This window comes from Homo sapiens, chromosome 9 (assembly GCF_000001405.40).
Source record: "Homo sapiens chromosome 9, GRCh38.p14 Primary Assembly".
NCBI lineage: Eukaryota > Metazoa > Chordata > Mammalia > Primates > Hominidae > Homo > Homo sapiens.
In genome coordinates this window covers 137779783-137794753 of record NC_000009.12, presented here as the reverse complement: position 1 = coordinate 137794753, position 14971 = coordinate 137779783, and the positions used below count along the sequence as shown (strand labels likewise).

Below are 14971 nucleotides of genomic sequence, written 5' to 3'. Positions count from 1 at the left end.
AAAACTGCCTCCCTGGTTTCAAATGAGAAGTCAGTAATATTTCATAACGTTGTCTGTCTAGATGTAATGTGCTGTTTTTCTCTAGCTTTTTTTTTTTTTTTTTCTTAGAGATGGGGTCTCACTCTGTCGCCCGGGCTAAAGTGCAGTGGTGCTAATCCAGCTCACTGTAGCCTCAAACTCCTGTGCTCAGGTGATGCTCCTGCCTCAGCCTCCCAAGGGGCTATGACTACAGGCACGTGCCACCACGCCCAGCTAATTTTTCATTTCTTATAGAGATGGGGTCTCACTATGCTGTCCAGGCTGATCTCAAACTCCTCACCTCAGGCCATCCTTCTGCCTCAGCCTCCCAAAGCACTAGCATTACAGAAGCAAGCCACTGAACCTGGCCAAATGTTTGCCTACTTTGATCTAGCAATTCTACAGCCAGAAATCTGTCCTAAAGAAGCCTAATGTGCAAATATTTAACTATAAAAATGTTTACTGAAACATTGTTTATAATAAAAATTGAAAATAAGATAAATATTAAATATTCAAATTTGACTAAAAATGGTAAAATTATATCATAAATTGATACAGCCATTTAGGTGTTTCAAAGAATAATATTTAATGAGAAAACAGTGAAAGTTTAATGTGACATGAGGCAGGAGTTGAATTACTATGAGGAGTGTGATCACTTTGTTGTTGGAAAAATGTGTATTAATATGAAAGACTAAGAATTTAAATGTTGTTATGGTAATATATAACCAAACTTGCCATTTAAAACATTTTATACAGTTTTGTGGCATTAAACACATTCACAATCACCACTATTTCCAAAACTTTTTCATTACCCAAAACAAAGCTCTACAATCATGAGGCAAAATACCATCCCCCAGCCCCAGGGAATCTCCAGTCTACTTTCTGTCTCTATGAATCTCCCTACTCTCGATGGCTTCTATCGGTCACATCGTACAGGATTTGTCCTTGTGCCTGGCTTCTTTCCCTCAGCAGAATGTCCTCGAGGTCCATCCATGCTGTTCATAGGTCAAAATTTCATTACTTTTTATGGCTGAGTAACATCCCATCGTATGGATGGACTGAATGTGCTGACGCAGGCATCTGCTGAGACATCTGGGTTGTTTCTGTCCTTCAGCTACTGTGAACAATGCTGCAGTAAACACTGTTGTATGAAGATCTCTTTGTGTTCCTGGTTTGCATGCCTGTGGCATACACTTAGGAGTGGAGTTGCTACAGATCACAGCGTAATCCTATGCTTAGCGATCTGAGGAACCACCAGACTGGTTTCCACAATGGCTGCAGCGTTTACATCCCCACTAGCAACGCGTGAGAGTTCCGATATTGCCACATCCTCTGAGGTGCGTCTCACCTGTGGCTCTGATTTGGCTTCCCTGGTGGCTGGTGATGCTGGACACCTTTTCATGTGGGAAATGGCCCTTGTGGGCCTTCCTTAGAGAGATGGCTACTCAAGCCCCTTCTTTGCCCATTTCTGAATTGGGTGGTTTAATTTTCTGTTGTTGTTGAGATGTACAACCTCTTTATATATTCTGCATAAAAACCTCTTATCAGATAATTTGTAAATACATTTCCTCATTCTGTAGGTGGTCTTTTCACGCTATTGGTCATGATCTTTGATGTACAAAAGTTTACTTATTTTTCCCCATTTTAAAACCTTTTATTATCTCTACAAACCCTTGGATCGGGGGCTGACTTTCAACAGATCGTACTGAGGGAGCTGCTTTGCCGCGCATGAAACCCCAACCCAGAAGCGGGTCATCTACGGACGGTTTAGTGCCAGGTTCCCTACGAACGTGAGTGCGTGACAGGCAAGGGGGTGGCTGTCTTTCCGGCTGCACATCATTTCCCAGGGCCAAACGTTTTTAATTTTAATCAAGTTTGTCTATTTCTTTGATCATGCTTTTGTATCATATCCAAGAAATCATTGTCAAATCCAGTGTCATAAAGCTTTCCCCCCATGTCTTCTTCAAAGAGTGTTCTGGTTTTAGCTCTTAAGTACGGGCCTTTCATCCACATACGTTTTCCTTTTTTTTGAAACAGAGTTTCGCTCTTGTCACCCAGGTTGGAGCGCAGTGGCGTGATCTCGGCTCACTGCAACTTCCGCCTCCCGGGTTCAATCGATTCTCCTGCCTCAGCCTCCCAGGTAGCTGGGATTACAGGCACCCATCACCACGCCCGGCTAATTTTTATATTTTTAGTAGAGACCGGGTTTCACCATGTTGGACAGACTGGTCTTGAATTCCTGACCTCAGGTGATCCACCTGCCTCAGCCTCCCAACGTGCTGGGATTACAGGCGTGAGCCACCACGCCCAGCTGTATTTTCCATTAATTTTTGAATACAGTGTTAGATGAGGGTCCAACCTCACGCTTCTGGATGTGGATATCCAGCTGTCTCAGCACCATCTGTTGAAAAGACAGTCTTTTCCCCATTGAATGGTCTTTGTAACCTTTGCCAAAAATCAGTGACCATATATGCAATCGTTTATTTCTGGGCTTTTTATTTTATTCCATTGGTCTCTATTTCTGTCTTTATGCCAGTCCCACACTGTTTTCATTACTGTGGCCGTATATAGTAAGTTTTGAAATCAGCAAGTGTGAGTTCTCCAACTCTGTTCTTTCACAAAATTGTTTGGCTTCTCTGGGTCTCTTGAGACTCCGTATAAACTTTAGAAGTTTTCTGTATCTGTAAAAAAAAAAGCTGTTAGCGCTGGGCATGGTGGCTCATGCTCATAATCCCAGCACCATGGGAGGCTGAGGCGGGCGGATCACCTGAGGTCAGGAGTTCGAGACCAGCTTGGCCAACATGGTGAAACCCCATCTCTACTAAAAATACCAAAAATTAGCCAGGCATGGTGGTGCGTGCCTGTAATCTCAGCTACTAGGGAGGCTGAGGCAGGAGAATTGCTTGAACCTGGGAGGTGGAGGTTGCAGTAGGCCGAGATTGTGCCACTGCACTCCAATCTGGGTGACAGAGCAAGACTGTCTCAAAAAAACAAAAAAGCTGTTAGGATTTTAGTAAGGACTCCATGGACTCTACAGGCTGTTGGGTGGCACCTGCCATTTTAACCACATTCAGTCTTCTCATCTGTGAACATGGGATGTCTTTCTATTTATTCAGGTCTTCTTTAATTTCCTTCAGCAATGTTTGTTAGTTTTCAACTAACAAATACAAGTCTTTTGTCTTCTTGGTTAAACTCACTCCTAAGTATTTTATTCTTTTTGATGCTACTGTAAATGAAACCGTTTTCTTAATTTCTTTTTTGAATACTTCATTCAAAGTATATAGAAATGCAACTGATTTTTTTGTGTTAATTTTTTATCCTGTTTTGCTGAATTGGTTTTGTTAGCTTACAATATTTTTGCATATTCTTTAGGATTTTCTACATATAAAAACATGTCATCTGTGAACAGAGGCAGTTTTACTTCTTCCTTTCCAATGTGAACGCCTTTGATTTCTTTTTCTTGCCTAATTGCTCTGGGCTGAAGACAGGGTGAGACGATGTACTGTAAGGCGAACACCTTCTGCACAGCAAACCCGTCATTCGCTCACCTGTCTGTTGTCAGGCTCTGTAGAGAGTGAGCACTCACTAGTAGTTTTTAATAATAAACCAGGTAACCAAAGTGAGATGAAGGAACTATTTCTGGACAACTGGGTCAGTGTGTGAAGGCCCCAAGTCCTGGAGATGTCAGTAAGGATGTCCCTTGCTCAGCTTTCTGAGAAACGTCTACACACACACTAGGACGTTGATTCTGACAGGGGAACATACCTTGGGATCCACCAGGGCCCCAGCCTTGATGAGGTACTTCACTGCTTCCAGATGGTTGTTTTCGGCTGCTTCCATCAACGGGGTCCTCTGGTCTTCTGAGCAGGTGTCAATATTAGCGCCCGCCTAGTGAAACAACAGTTCAGGTGTATGGGAGGGCTGTGACGGTAGCCACCGCCTGGGGAGAAGTGACTTACAAGCTTCCACACTCAAAAAAAGAGAGCTGCACTGTTTCAGTGACCAACAATGTCTGAGTTTTCTAAACACGTATTCAAAGACATAATTATTCTATTATTATCAAACCTTTAGTCTAAGCAGAATATTTCTGCTAGATTTCATTCCACTTCTAAGGTAATTTGATAGTAAATGTTTATAGCTCAGGAGTGTGACAACACCTTTAGAAATGAGGAGGACAGTGACAACCTTCTAAAGCAGACAAAGAAGGGGGAGGGAGGGGCCCCTCAGCAGAGAGGAGGCAGGAGGGAGGTGCCGGTTCACCCTGCCAGGCCACACAGCATCCTCTCACTGATTTAGTACTCGCCAAAATAAGTGGAAAATCCTGATTTCCAGTAGCATGCATTCCGGAACAGTTTCCATTTTTCCAAACAAACGGAGAAACTTGAAAGACCAATTAACTGGCAGGTAAATTTTTCTTGGTCTGAAACTTAAGAAGCCCTCGACTTTAAAATTGGTTGTGTGCTAAAAGCCAATCAGCTGTTTGGCTGTTGAAACCTTTTCTCCATGAGGAAAAACTTCTTAGATGACAAAGACCTAGTATTTAATTTATAACATAAACATTATGAAAAAACGTTGAAAATAGTATTGTTTTTACTATTAGTAATTAAAAACCAAAAGTAACACAATTAAATAAGGAATGTTTAAACAGCCCTAGAATGGTCTATATGGAAAATGAGGCTAACTCATAACGGCTAAGGGGGTGGAGAGGCCGGGCACGGCAGCTCACGCCTGTCATCCCAGCACTTTGGGAGGCCAAGGCAGGTGGATCACCTGAGGTCAGGCGTTCGAGACCAGCCTGGCCAACATGGTGAAACCCCATCTCTACTAAAAATACAAAAATTAACCAGGCGTGGTGCCTGGCGCCTGTAATCCCAGCTACGCAGGAGGCTGAGGCAGGAGAGTTGCTTGAACCTGGGAGGCAGAGGTTGCAGTGAGCCCAGATTGCACCACTGCACTCCAGCCTGGGCAACAAAAGTGAACTCTGTTACAAAAACAAAACAAAACAAAACAAAAAACCACAAAACAGAGGGGCAAGTGAGAGGCTCAGGAGACTTTGACCGGAAGGAGCTGGGCTTCCCCAAAGAGAACGCAGGGTCCACAGACCAAGGGTCAGAGGTCAGAAGGCTGAGGCCTGGAGGCGCACAGTGACCCATGGCTGACTTCAAACACCAAAGCTCAAAGCCAAGGTCCGGCTGCCAAACCTGAAGGTAAAGTAGCGTCAGAAGTCTACGACAGCTAATTTTTAACGAATAGTAAGCTTAAAAAAACACAAAACGAGGTAGAGAGCGAGGCCCGTGCTGTGCAGAGGAGCTGTGGCTCTGCCCGCACGCTCAGCACACAGAGGCTGCTCCCCCAGACCCCAAAAATCCTGGTGAAAGAAGAGAGGGTGCGCCCACAATGGAGAGGGTGGCACCGAACGCCCCTGCGCCAGCACCAGGCCGGCAGCGCAGGCGGAAGCGCAGACAGACCCGAGTGTGCAAGGGCAGGAGGGGCTGACGGCTTCGGGCGGAGCATAGGGGACGATGGGTGTCCTTCCCCGGGGAGGAGGGCTCGGGCAGCTCTCGGCGGCCCACAGGAAACGGGAGGCTGCGGCTCCCCAGGGCGTTGCCCTCAGACCCACACCGCGCCCAGGACCCGGGTAAGCAGAAGGAAATGACCCCGCCCATGAGAACACAGGGCACTGAGACAAAGTCCAAGAAAGCTCTAAGAGTGGAGGGAAGCAGCGGAGCAAAAGGAAGAGTCAGAGCGACACCCGCGCGGCGGCATTTCCAAACAGACCTGCCAGCGCCAAGAAACAGGTCGCGCCCCCCATCCAGCTGCATCCTGGACCCCACGCAGACGCGGAGCAGGACCCACCTCCCACGCGCTCCCCAAACCCTCACCGCAAGCGGAGCGGCTGACACTGACCAAGTCCCACACAGCCTGGGACTCCAAGGTCGAAGCCGCCGGCCGCTCACCCTCCGCGAGGCTCTGACGGACGGCGCCCTTCCCAGGCTCGCGAGCACTCCCCGCCAACGGCTACCCATCGCGGTCCGCCTCCCAGGCATTGGGCCCGCAGCGACTCCCGCCTGCAGGCCCAGAGGCACAGTCGCTCTCCCAGTCCCCGAGGGGACAAGAGACACCTGCAGCACGGCAATCCCCTACACCTGTGAGGCCCTCTAAGCCCGCAAGGCCCCCTACACCTGCAACCTCCCTTCACCTACAAGATCCCTGCACCTGCAAGGACCCCTACACCTGCAACTTCCCTACACCTGCAATCTCCCTACACCTGCAACCTCCGTACGCCTGCAACCTCCTTTCACCTACAAGATCCCTAAACCTGCAACCTCCTTACACCTGCGTGAGCGTCACCCCGGCTGAGGCGCTGGCAGAAGGCGGTGCGGGTGGAGCCTTCGCCAACGTCCTGGGCCCCCTGAGTGCTGCATGCCAGTCCTACCAGCCGCTCGGTCATCTGCCACCGCCCAGCAATGGCTTCAGCATGCAGTCCCTGCTAGGGGACTCCAGGGAGGAGCATCCTGGCCAGGGCTGGTGCCACAGAGCAGCCCAGCTTCTGCAGGCAGGTACGGGGTGCAGTGGGGAGAAGGCAGTGACCACCCCACCCCTGCCCTCCTCTGAGAGGCCTCTGTGGCCCCTCTGCCCCCTTCCTGGCCCCACGAGAGTGGAGGGGGAGACTTTGCCAGCGGGAGCCATCAGGCCCTCAACCCTCTTCCCGGAGCCTAGGGCCTGGCCTCTCCACTTACTGCAGGGCACCTCAGTTCCTGGGGGGCTGTCCAGTGGGGGACACAGGGCCTCCCTCTGGGGGCAGCTGCCCACCTCCTACTTGCCAATCTACACTCCCAATGTGGTAATGCCCTTGGCACCCCCACCCACCTCCTATCCCCAATGTCCACCGTCAACCAGCTCTGCCTACTGGGGGGTGGCCCCTGAAACCTGAGGGCCCCCAGGGCTGGGATCTAGACGCCCTCTTCCAGGGTGTGTCACCCAACAAAAGCATCTACGATGTTTCGGTGGCACCCTGGGGACCTGGCGGCCCCTGGCCCAGGCGGGCTGCTCTCCCGGTGCAGCCTGTGAGGCTCTTAAGACAGGCCCCTCCTCCCTCCCGCTTCCACCCCCAGCTTGTTGCCAGGGAGCCAAGGCGAGGCGGTTGTCTGCGACCACAGCAGCCTCGAAACACCAGGCAGCAGCCTTGCTGGGAGTCCATGGTGTTTACTAACTACCCCACGTGTGGCCGTGGCCGAGCTGGGCACGGCCCTGGCCCTGGTCAGTCATGCCTCTGTTTCCCCTACACCCAGAGGCAAGGCTGTGGGAGGCAGGGCTGAGCCTGGAATAGCCCTTCCTAGTCCCCTCTTCTCAGCCCACTACCCATCCATCCGTCACCAGCCGTCACCGAATGGCAGATGCAGCCTGGGAAGGAGGTAGTACCTTTTCAGGAAAAGGGGTTAGGGAATCAAGACTGGACCCTACGTGGTCTTGGTAGGGGCGTGGGGGAGATAACAGTAAAGGAATTTACAACATTTTTTTTTAATGAGAGATGACAGAAGAGCAGACCGATGAAAACATGAGTGTCTGTGGTGAGTTCGGATGGCAGCGTGTGGCACCTCGCTCAGTGCTCTCCAGAAACTGCAGACACGGCATGAAATCTTGCAACACGAGGGACCAGGACACCGAAGGGCAGCAGGTGAGAGAGGGCAGCAGCACCCCAGAGCTGCAGCAGATGGAGGCACAGCTCCCGACTCCTCCGCAGGGACAAAAACACAGATCAAGTCAGAAAAGACCCCGGGGCGCTTGAGGCAGCTCGGACACCCAGGAGGCTCCGTGACCGATCCTCGGAGCCACTCCCCAGCCTGGGAGCCAGAACGCTGATGTCCCCAGCACCGGCGAAAGGCTGGGGTGGACTCCAGGTCGGCTGCCAGGGAAGCACTTTTTGCACAATGGATTTCTCTGTCTGTGCACAGGGGAGATGACTCCACATGACCAAGACGGGAGCCCGGGAGAGATGAGGCCACACGGCCAAGATGGGAGCCCAGGGGAGATGACACCACATGAGACCAAGACCGGAGCCGGAGGGAGAGATGACGCCACACGACCAAGACTGGAGCTGGAGGGAGATGACTCCACACAACCAAGACCAGAGCCCGGGAGAGATGACTCCACACGACCAAGACCGGAGCCCGGGAGAGATGACTCCACACGACCAAGACCAGAGCCCGGGGGAGATGACACCACAGGCCCTCACTGGTGTGGCCAGAGCCTGCCCAAAGAGTGTGTGTGAGATGTGAGACACCCCTGCAGATGCTGAAACCCTGAGAAACAGCACCCTTGGATTCAGGGCAAACTAGAGATAAAGCCAATCTCTCTCTCTTCCTGGAGAATCTCAGGAAAACCGCTTAGATTCTAAGGGGAAGAAAAAATAGAAATCCCTCTAAGACCAGCAACAGTAAGTTCTGCAGGACGGGTTATCAAATTAAACATCAGGCTAGGAATTTAACCCGAAGTTCCAGACTGGTCAGACCCCGGGCACTGCATGGACAGCAGCACCAAGGGACATAATGATTTCCTCCCAATACATCATGTTATTTCACGGCACTAAACTCACAAGAGGCTGTAAAACAGAACGAAGAGCTCTGTACTCCCCTCACTCGGCCTCCCCAAAGACGACGTTTCAGACAAGCACAGAGCACAGGCAGTCAGCAGGGAGCCCTGGCAGGGCCAGGCCACTCAGCCCCACAGCCATGTCCCTTTTCTACACTCCCTTGTTTTCCTGACTGACGGAAGCAGACACAAAGGAACTCACGCTGGACAACTCAGTTAGCATAAAGGTTAAAAGCAAACAAACGGAACCCTGCTATGCGAGGCACTTGCAGGGCGGTGAGACCAAAACGGCTGCTGTTCCCGGGGAGGGCACCCAGGCGTCCACCAGGTGTCCAGGGAGCCAGCAACGCTGTGTCTCACGGGGGTGCGAATGTCAGGGCCAGAGTAGGATGATTTGTTAACCAGATGTTTACATTTTAAGGACCTTTCTGTATGCATGATGCAACCATATGTTTTTGGGTTTTAATTTTAATATTTAAAAAAGAAAGCCAAAGAGAACCCAGTGTCTTTCAAAGGAGTGACAAGCTAAATTCTCAAAAGGAAGAATGGAAGTCAGAAGACAGTGGCATCATTCCTTACATGACCTGAGGAAAACCACCAGCAACCTGGAATTCCAGGCACAGGAGGAATGTCTTCAAGAAGCCTCCACAGCCAGCAGTGGACATGGAGAATGGGCTCAGCACGGCCCACCCTCACGGGCTCAGCACACCCCACCCTCAGGGGCTCAGCACGGCCCACCCTCACGGGCTCAGCGCACCCCACCCTCACGGGCTCAGCGCACCCACATTCATGGCCTTGCCCAGCTCCTGGGGCCATCGGGGTAGCACTCATACAGCCCTTGTTCCTGTCTGGTCCATTCCCCCACGTGGCTCTGCACACTCATCCCCATTCAGGTCCATCCGCAACAGAACAGAATCATGCCACACCCTTCACTAGGCCTCCCAGGAGAGGAGAGGGCCTCCCAGCCGAATGCCTGGCCCTCCACCAGCATCTGCTCTCGAGCCCCACAACACCAGCTCCTGCCTCTTCCAGACCACGCTCTTCCTCTTCCTCAGAGCCCCACCTATGAACGTCCTGGCATCACTCCTGCCCTGAACAGCCCAGCCCTCACTCCAGCTCTGCCTGTGTCTGGACGACCACCCCCCACTCCCTGACCTCACCCCCTCCCACAAGCCTGTTCCCACCAGATCAGCCACTTCCCTCATGGTCTCACCATGAACCACAGCCCACATGACTCGTCTTGAGGCCACCCCACTGTCTCTGAATCCTTTTCTGCTTCTCCCTGACATACCCAGCAGCCTCCGTGGCTCCTCCTGCATGGAGCTGGCCCCCAGTGCCCCCAGTGCCTACCTCGGCTCAGCGCTTCTCACGGCACACTTTCCTCTCAGCCTCCAGGAGCCCCCCACAAACCCCTGGCTTACTGGACCCCAGTTCACTCAGCTGCTCCCTCCCTCACCCCCCTGCCAGGGCTTGGCTCCCCCATCATCATCTCATTCAGTCTTGACCTTGGTAAGTCAAGTCTGCATGTGAGACTGACAGGAACCACTGGGGCAAAAACTGGAAAGTTTGTAACTAACAGAGAGAAGAGAAATGGCAAAATCAAAATAAAACCAATTCAAAAGACGCAAGAACGACCAAAAAGTGGAAAGTCTGTAACTTCCAGAGAGAAGAGAAACGGCAAAATCGAAATAAAACCAATTCAAAAGATGCACGAACGACCAAAAAAGTATTGGCTTCAAAAGGCTGGCACTATGGTCTGAATGCAATTTATTTACCGGGGCTGGGGGCCCCAATGAGGTTTTGAGGCTGGGCCTTTAAGAGGCTACGAGGCTGTGAAGATGGAGCCACGCCTCTCTGAAAGGCGGAGTCAGCCCCCAGGAATGGACCTGCTCCCTGTGGGCGGCCTGGTCCACAGCAAGGCTGTGCTGGAGCATCTTCCTCTTGGCGTGGTTCCTGGCTGTGTTCGGGAACAGCACGAGGTCCTCACCATAAGTCACCAAAGGCAGCCCCTCGACCTTGGGCTTCCCAGCCTGCAGAACTGTGAGAAATAAATTTCTTTTCTTTATAAATGACCCGGTCTCAAGTATTCTCTTATAGCTAGAGAAAATGGACTAAGACAGCTAGAAATTAAAACTACAATATAAGACATTAGGTATAAATAAAGGACTAAAAGTTCCTATTAAAATACCAAGACTGTTAGACTAAATTTATAAAAATCAAGTTCTACGTTTAAAATACATATATCCAAAAACGAGGGAAAAGGTCAGAATAAAAGGAGGGAAAAATCATTCCAGGCAAATAGTAACAAAACACCATCAGTTATGACTCCGGAAACGGGGGACAGACTGAGGCAGCTGGACAGCGGGTGAGTGTGGGCACAGCAGACGGTGCGCCCCGTCGCTCTCTCCTTCTTGGCCCTAAGAAAGGCAGAGACAGGTGCAGTCCGAGAAGACAGGTCCTTCCCAGACAGTGGGGCCTGGGGGCCCCAACAAAACAGCCAGGCCTGCAGATCACCCTACAGCTGACAAGCCCCCGGCAAGCAAGAGCTACCACCAGCTTTTCAGTAGTTTACTTTAAATATAAACGAGAATCACTGGGCATTTGAGGAAAACCTTTAGATAAGAAAAACTAAAACACAGCAGCATAAAACTTCAAAATAACCATAATACCATCAGAGAAATAAGGGAAGAAAAAGAGGCTACTGAAAGAGGAACTATCTAAGAGCAGAAAGGAATTACTGGGATTTGAAAATGTGACCACACATGTTAAGAATCCCCCAGGAGCTGGAAGCTGAAGGTGAGAATGCTGCCTAGAAGGCAGAACCAAAAGACAAGAAAACAGACCACGGCAGGAAATCGGTCTGGAAGGTTCCACACCTGAGTTATGAGAGTCCCAGGACAGAGCTGAGACAGGTAGAAGACCTGGGCACAGAAGTCACACAGGAAATCCTCCTAGAACTGACAGGTGTGGATTTCTGCACTGAAAGGGCACAGCACATGCACCAAATGCCCCAGTGGATCTAAAAAGACCCACATTACAATGAGGTACAACTTCAGACCAGTGGGGTTCAAGGAAAGTTCCTAAAGTCTCCAGAAATAATAGGTCACACACAAAGGATCAGAAGTCAGACTGCACCAGACTCAAACCTGGCACTTGAGAAACAGGGGATCCAACACCGGGATCAGGGAAGGGGCGTCACAGGGGGACAAACAGCGTCGTGTGTCTGAACCCAGAGACAAGCGGGCAGCGTTCAGATGGTTCAGAATAAATTAGCAGGTGGCAGAGTCAACTCAACCAACAGAAACACAAGCCAGTGATTAACGACAGACACAACATACCCTGTAGACGACGTGGTTCAGCTTGAAAATGCTCACACGATCTGATCTAAACAAAATGGGAGCCAGTCAACGGGGCTGGGGGAGGGGCGTCCGTGCCTCTGCGAGTGCTTGGCTCCCCCAGAGGGACGTCATGAGTGTGAAGAACCAAAACCAAAACCAAAGAAAGCAAATCAAGAAACAGCCAAATGGCGGCATGCTCTTCTCAAAGGCCGTGGTAAATGCCGGAAGAAACAGCGGGAAGCACTGATCCACCTGCAGGACTCGGGGGCAGAAAAGCTGACTCTGTGCCCGATTCACAGCACTACGGAACTCTTACACTGGAAGAACCGCGAACGTGGTATGATTTTACTTTGGTAAAAATAAAAGAGAGCAGGTGAAGAGCCCTAGGAGGGCGCCGTGCCGCCGCACCTGAACCAGCATGTGGCAGATGTCCACGTGTCCAGCCTCTGCCGCGGCGTGCAGTGGAGAGCGCTTATTCTGGTGCTCCATTTTGAAGTTGGGGTCAATTCCGTCCACTGTGAACAAACACAGTTTTATTAATGATTTCAGATGTAGCCACAGACTCCAGCTCAGGACTGTCACGATGGCTGGCAAGCACTCACAAATGACCATCCTCCACATAAACAGCCACCTCGAGCCACGCCGGAACCCGCCCACAGCACCATCCTCTGGACTTGAGACTTGAGTGTGCTAGTCTCCTGCGGAATTGAACAGGCAGGTCCCTCTGTCAGAACTAACTCGGCAAGGCACGCTCTTCCCTTTACCACCCTGCTCTAACTCTGAGGTTCCTTCTGTGTTTCTGTGTGGCCTGGCCATGGCCGCCCCAGGCCCAGTGAGGCGGCTGACCAGGGCAGACACACCCTAGGGGAGCAAGCAAGGCCGGGGACAGAGGCCTGAGCATCGGTCAATTCCCAGGAGGTCTGAGAGGACGGTGAGCAACGGAGCAGTGAGGTGACCTTCACAGGTGTCCTGTGAAGTCCATGACAAAATGATTAAAACTGCTGGTCAACATAAATAAACCTTTCTTTAAAAGCAAATAGTTTCACTTCTTTTTACTTGACGTACTGTCCAGTAAAGGGCTTCTTAATCATCCTTTTCAACCCAGAGACGATGAACGTCAGAGAAATCAAGCCTAAAGCTATGAGCTCAGAGACCAAATTATCACTGGGAAGGCTCTCTAACAAGTATGCTTTTGCGTATTAGAAATCTAATGCAATCGGTTTGCCTGTTATAAAATACCTATAGCTGAAGCCTACTTTGTCCACACCACAGCTGCTGCGATCAGCACAGGTGAAACATCGACTGCCGTCATCACCACACATTCCAGCGTCATGACCACACATCTCAGCATCATCACCGCATATCCCAGCGTCATCACCACACATCTCAGCATCATCACCACACATCCCAGCGTCATCACCACACATCCCAGCGTCATCACCACACGTCTCAGCGTCATCACCACACGTCTCAGCGTCATCACCACACATCTCAGTGATGCCGTCATCACCACACATCTCAGCGTCATCACCACACGTCCCAGCGTCGTCACCACACGTCCCAGCGTCGTCACCACACGTCCCAGCGTCGTCACCACACGTCTCAGCGTCGTCACCACACGTCCCAGCGTCATCACCACACGTCTCAGCGTCATCACCACACGTCTCAGTGATGCCGTCATCACCACACATCTCAGCGTCATCACCACACATCCCAGCGTCATCACCACACATCCCGGCGTCATCACCACACGTCTCGGCGTCATCACCACACGTCTCGGCGTCATCACCACACATCCCGGCGTCATCACCACACATCCCAGCGTCATCACCACACGTCTCAGCGTCATCACCACACATCTCAGTGATGCCGTCATCACCACACATCTCAGCGTCATCACCACACATCCCAGCGTCATCACCACACATCCCGGCGTCATCACCACACGTCTCGGCGTCATCACCACACGTCTCGGCGTCATCACCACACATCTCAGTGAGATGCCGTCATCACCACACATCTCAGCGTCATCACCACACATCCCAGCGTCATCACCACACATCCCAGTGTCATCACCACACATACCGGCGTCATCACCACACGTCTCGGCGTCATCACCACACGTCTCGGCGTCATCACCACACATCTCAGTGAGATGCCGTCATCACCACACATCTCAGCGTCATCACCACACATCCCAGCGTCATCACCACACATCCCAGCGTCATCACCACACATCTCAGTGATGCCATCACCACACATCTCAGCGTCATCACCACACATCCCAGCGTCATCACCACACGTCTCAGCGTCATCACCACACGTCTCAGCGTCATCACCACACATCTCAGTGATGCCGTCATCACCACACATCTCAGCGTCATCACCACACATCCCAGCGTCATCACCACACATCCCAGCGTCATCACACGTCTCAGCGTCATCACCACACGTCTCAGCGTCATCACCACACATCTCAGTGATGCCGTCATCACCACACATCTCAGCGTCATCACCACACATCCCAGCATCATCACCACACATCCCAGCGTCATCACCACACATCCCAGCGTCATCACATCTCAGCGTCATCACCACACATCTCAGCGTCATCACCACACATCTCAGTGATGCCGTCATCACCACACATCTCAGCGTCATCACCACACATCTCAGCGTCATCACCACACATCCCAGCGTCATCACATCTCAGCATCATCACCATACATCTCAGCGTCATCACCACACATCTCAGCGTCATCACCACACATCTCAGGGCCACAACTCACTAGTTTTGCTTTTCCTTAATCTCTATTTCTGCTTGATTTAATAATCACATACCAATTCCTTTTTAAAAATTAGAACTTCGTAGAGAATAGTTCTAATATCTTGCGTAACTGGATATGAACACCATAAAAAGCCTCAACACCAGTGGGCAACCTATTCTCACTCATCAGAGAACTCGGAGACACAGAAACAGAAAACCAAAACGAGACCAGCCTCCTGAGGAAGGAGTAACAACT

The 14971-nt window shown here is 51.0% G+C and overlaps 1 protein-coding gene, 1 long non-coding RNA gene and 1 pseudogene across 35 annotated transcripts in view, besides 6 other annotated features; 2 read left to right on the top strand and 1 right to left on the bottom strand.

The window, feature by feature from the left end:
• The window catches only part of EHMT1 (euchromatic histone lysine methyltransferase 1), a 217123-nt gene that overhangs the window by 41374 nt on the left and 160778 nt on the right, over positions 1-14971 (bottom strand). For 29 of the 34 annotated variants that reach the window (XM_047423872.1, XM_047423875.1, XM_047423878.1 and 26 more), the window contains 2 exons: positions 12357-12463; positions 3784-3906 (listed from right to left, as the gene is read on the bottom strand). In XM_047423872.1, coding sequence (XP_047279828.1) covers positions 3784-3906; positions 12357-12463 — 230 coding nt within the window. Of the gene's footprint in view, positions 1-579; positions 2700-3783; positions 3907-5796; positions 7555-10360; positions 10649-12356; positions 12464-14971 lie in introns of those variants that run through there. The other 5 variants (NM_001354259.2, XM_011519030.4, XM_047423890.1 and 2 more) reach the window with 5 other exon arrangements.
• Positions 5856-6375: an enhancer, noted in NCBI's record as "H3K27ac-H3K4me1 hESC enhancer chr9:140682831-140683350 (GRCh37/hg19 assembly coordinates)". NCBI's record gives its function as "activates a minimal SCP1, AML or CMV promoter by ChIP-STARR-seq in primed H9 embryonic stem cells {active_cell/tissue: H9 hESC(primed)}" and the evidence as "EXISTENCE:reporter gene assay evidence [ECO:0000049][PMID:30033119]".
• Positions 6348-10681, top strand: LOC651337 (uncharacterized). Its single transcript, NR_147508.1, has 3 exons — positions 6348-6578; positions 7550-7696; positions 7974-10681. It is a non-coding gene; the product is annotated as an uncharacterized LOC651337 (long non-coding RNA).
• Positions 6376-6895: an enhancer, noted in NCBI's record as "H3K27ac-H3K4me1 hESC enhancer chr9:140682311-140682830 (GRCh37/hg19 assembly coordinates)". NCBI's record gives its function as "activates a minimal SCP1, AML or CMV promoter by ChIP-STARR-seq in primed H9 embryonic stem cells {active_cell/tissue: H9 hESC(primed)}" and the evidence as "EXISTENCE:reporter gene assay evidence [ECO:0000049][PMID:30033119]".
• On the top strand, positions 6385-7286 carry LOC100418938 (forkhead box H1 pseudogene; annotated as a pseudogene).
• Positions 7441-8085: an enhancer, noted in NCBI's record as "H3K4me1 hESC enhancer chr9:140681121-140681765 (GRCh37/hg19 assembly coordinates)". NCBI's record gives its function as "activates a minimal SCP1, AML or CMV promoter by ChIP-STARR-seq in primed H9 embryonic stem cells {active_cell/tissue: H9 hESC(primed)}" and the evidence as "EXISTENCE:reporter gene assay evidence [ECO:0000049][PMID:30033119]".
• Positions 8732-9376: an enhancer, noted in NCBI's record as "NANOG-H3K4me1 hESC enhancer chr9:140679830-140680474 (GRCh37/hg19 assembly coordinates)". NCBI's record gives its function as "activates a minimal SCP1, AML or CMV promoter by ChIP-STARR-seq in naive H9 embryonic stem cells {active_cell/tissue: H9 hESC(naive)}" and the evidence as "EXISTENCE:reporter gene assay evidence [ECO:0000049][PMID:30033119]".
• Positions 12292-12792: an enhancer, noted in NCBI's record as "H3K4me1 hESC enhancer chr9:140676414-140676914 (GRCh37/hg19 assembly coordinates)". NCBI's record gives its function as "activates a minimal SCP1, AML or CMV promoter by ChIP-STARR-seq in naive H9 embryonic stem cells {active_cell/tissue: H9 hESC(naive)}" and the evidence as "EXISTENCE:reporter gene assay evidence [ECO:0000049][PMID:30033119]".
• Positions 13860-14791: an enhancer, noted in NCBI's record as "H3K4me1 hESC enhancer chr9:140674415-140675346 (GRCh37/hg19 assembly coordinates)". NCBI's record gives its function as "activates a minimal SCP1, AML or CMV promoter by ChIP-STARR-seq in primed H9 embryonic stem cells {active_cell/tissue: H9 hESC(primed)}" and the evidence as "EXISTENCE:reporter gene assay evidence [ECO:0000049][PMID:30033119]".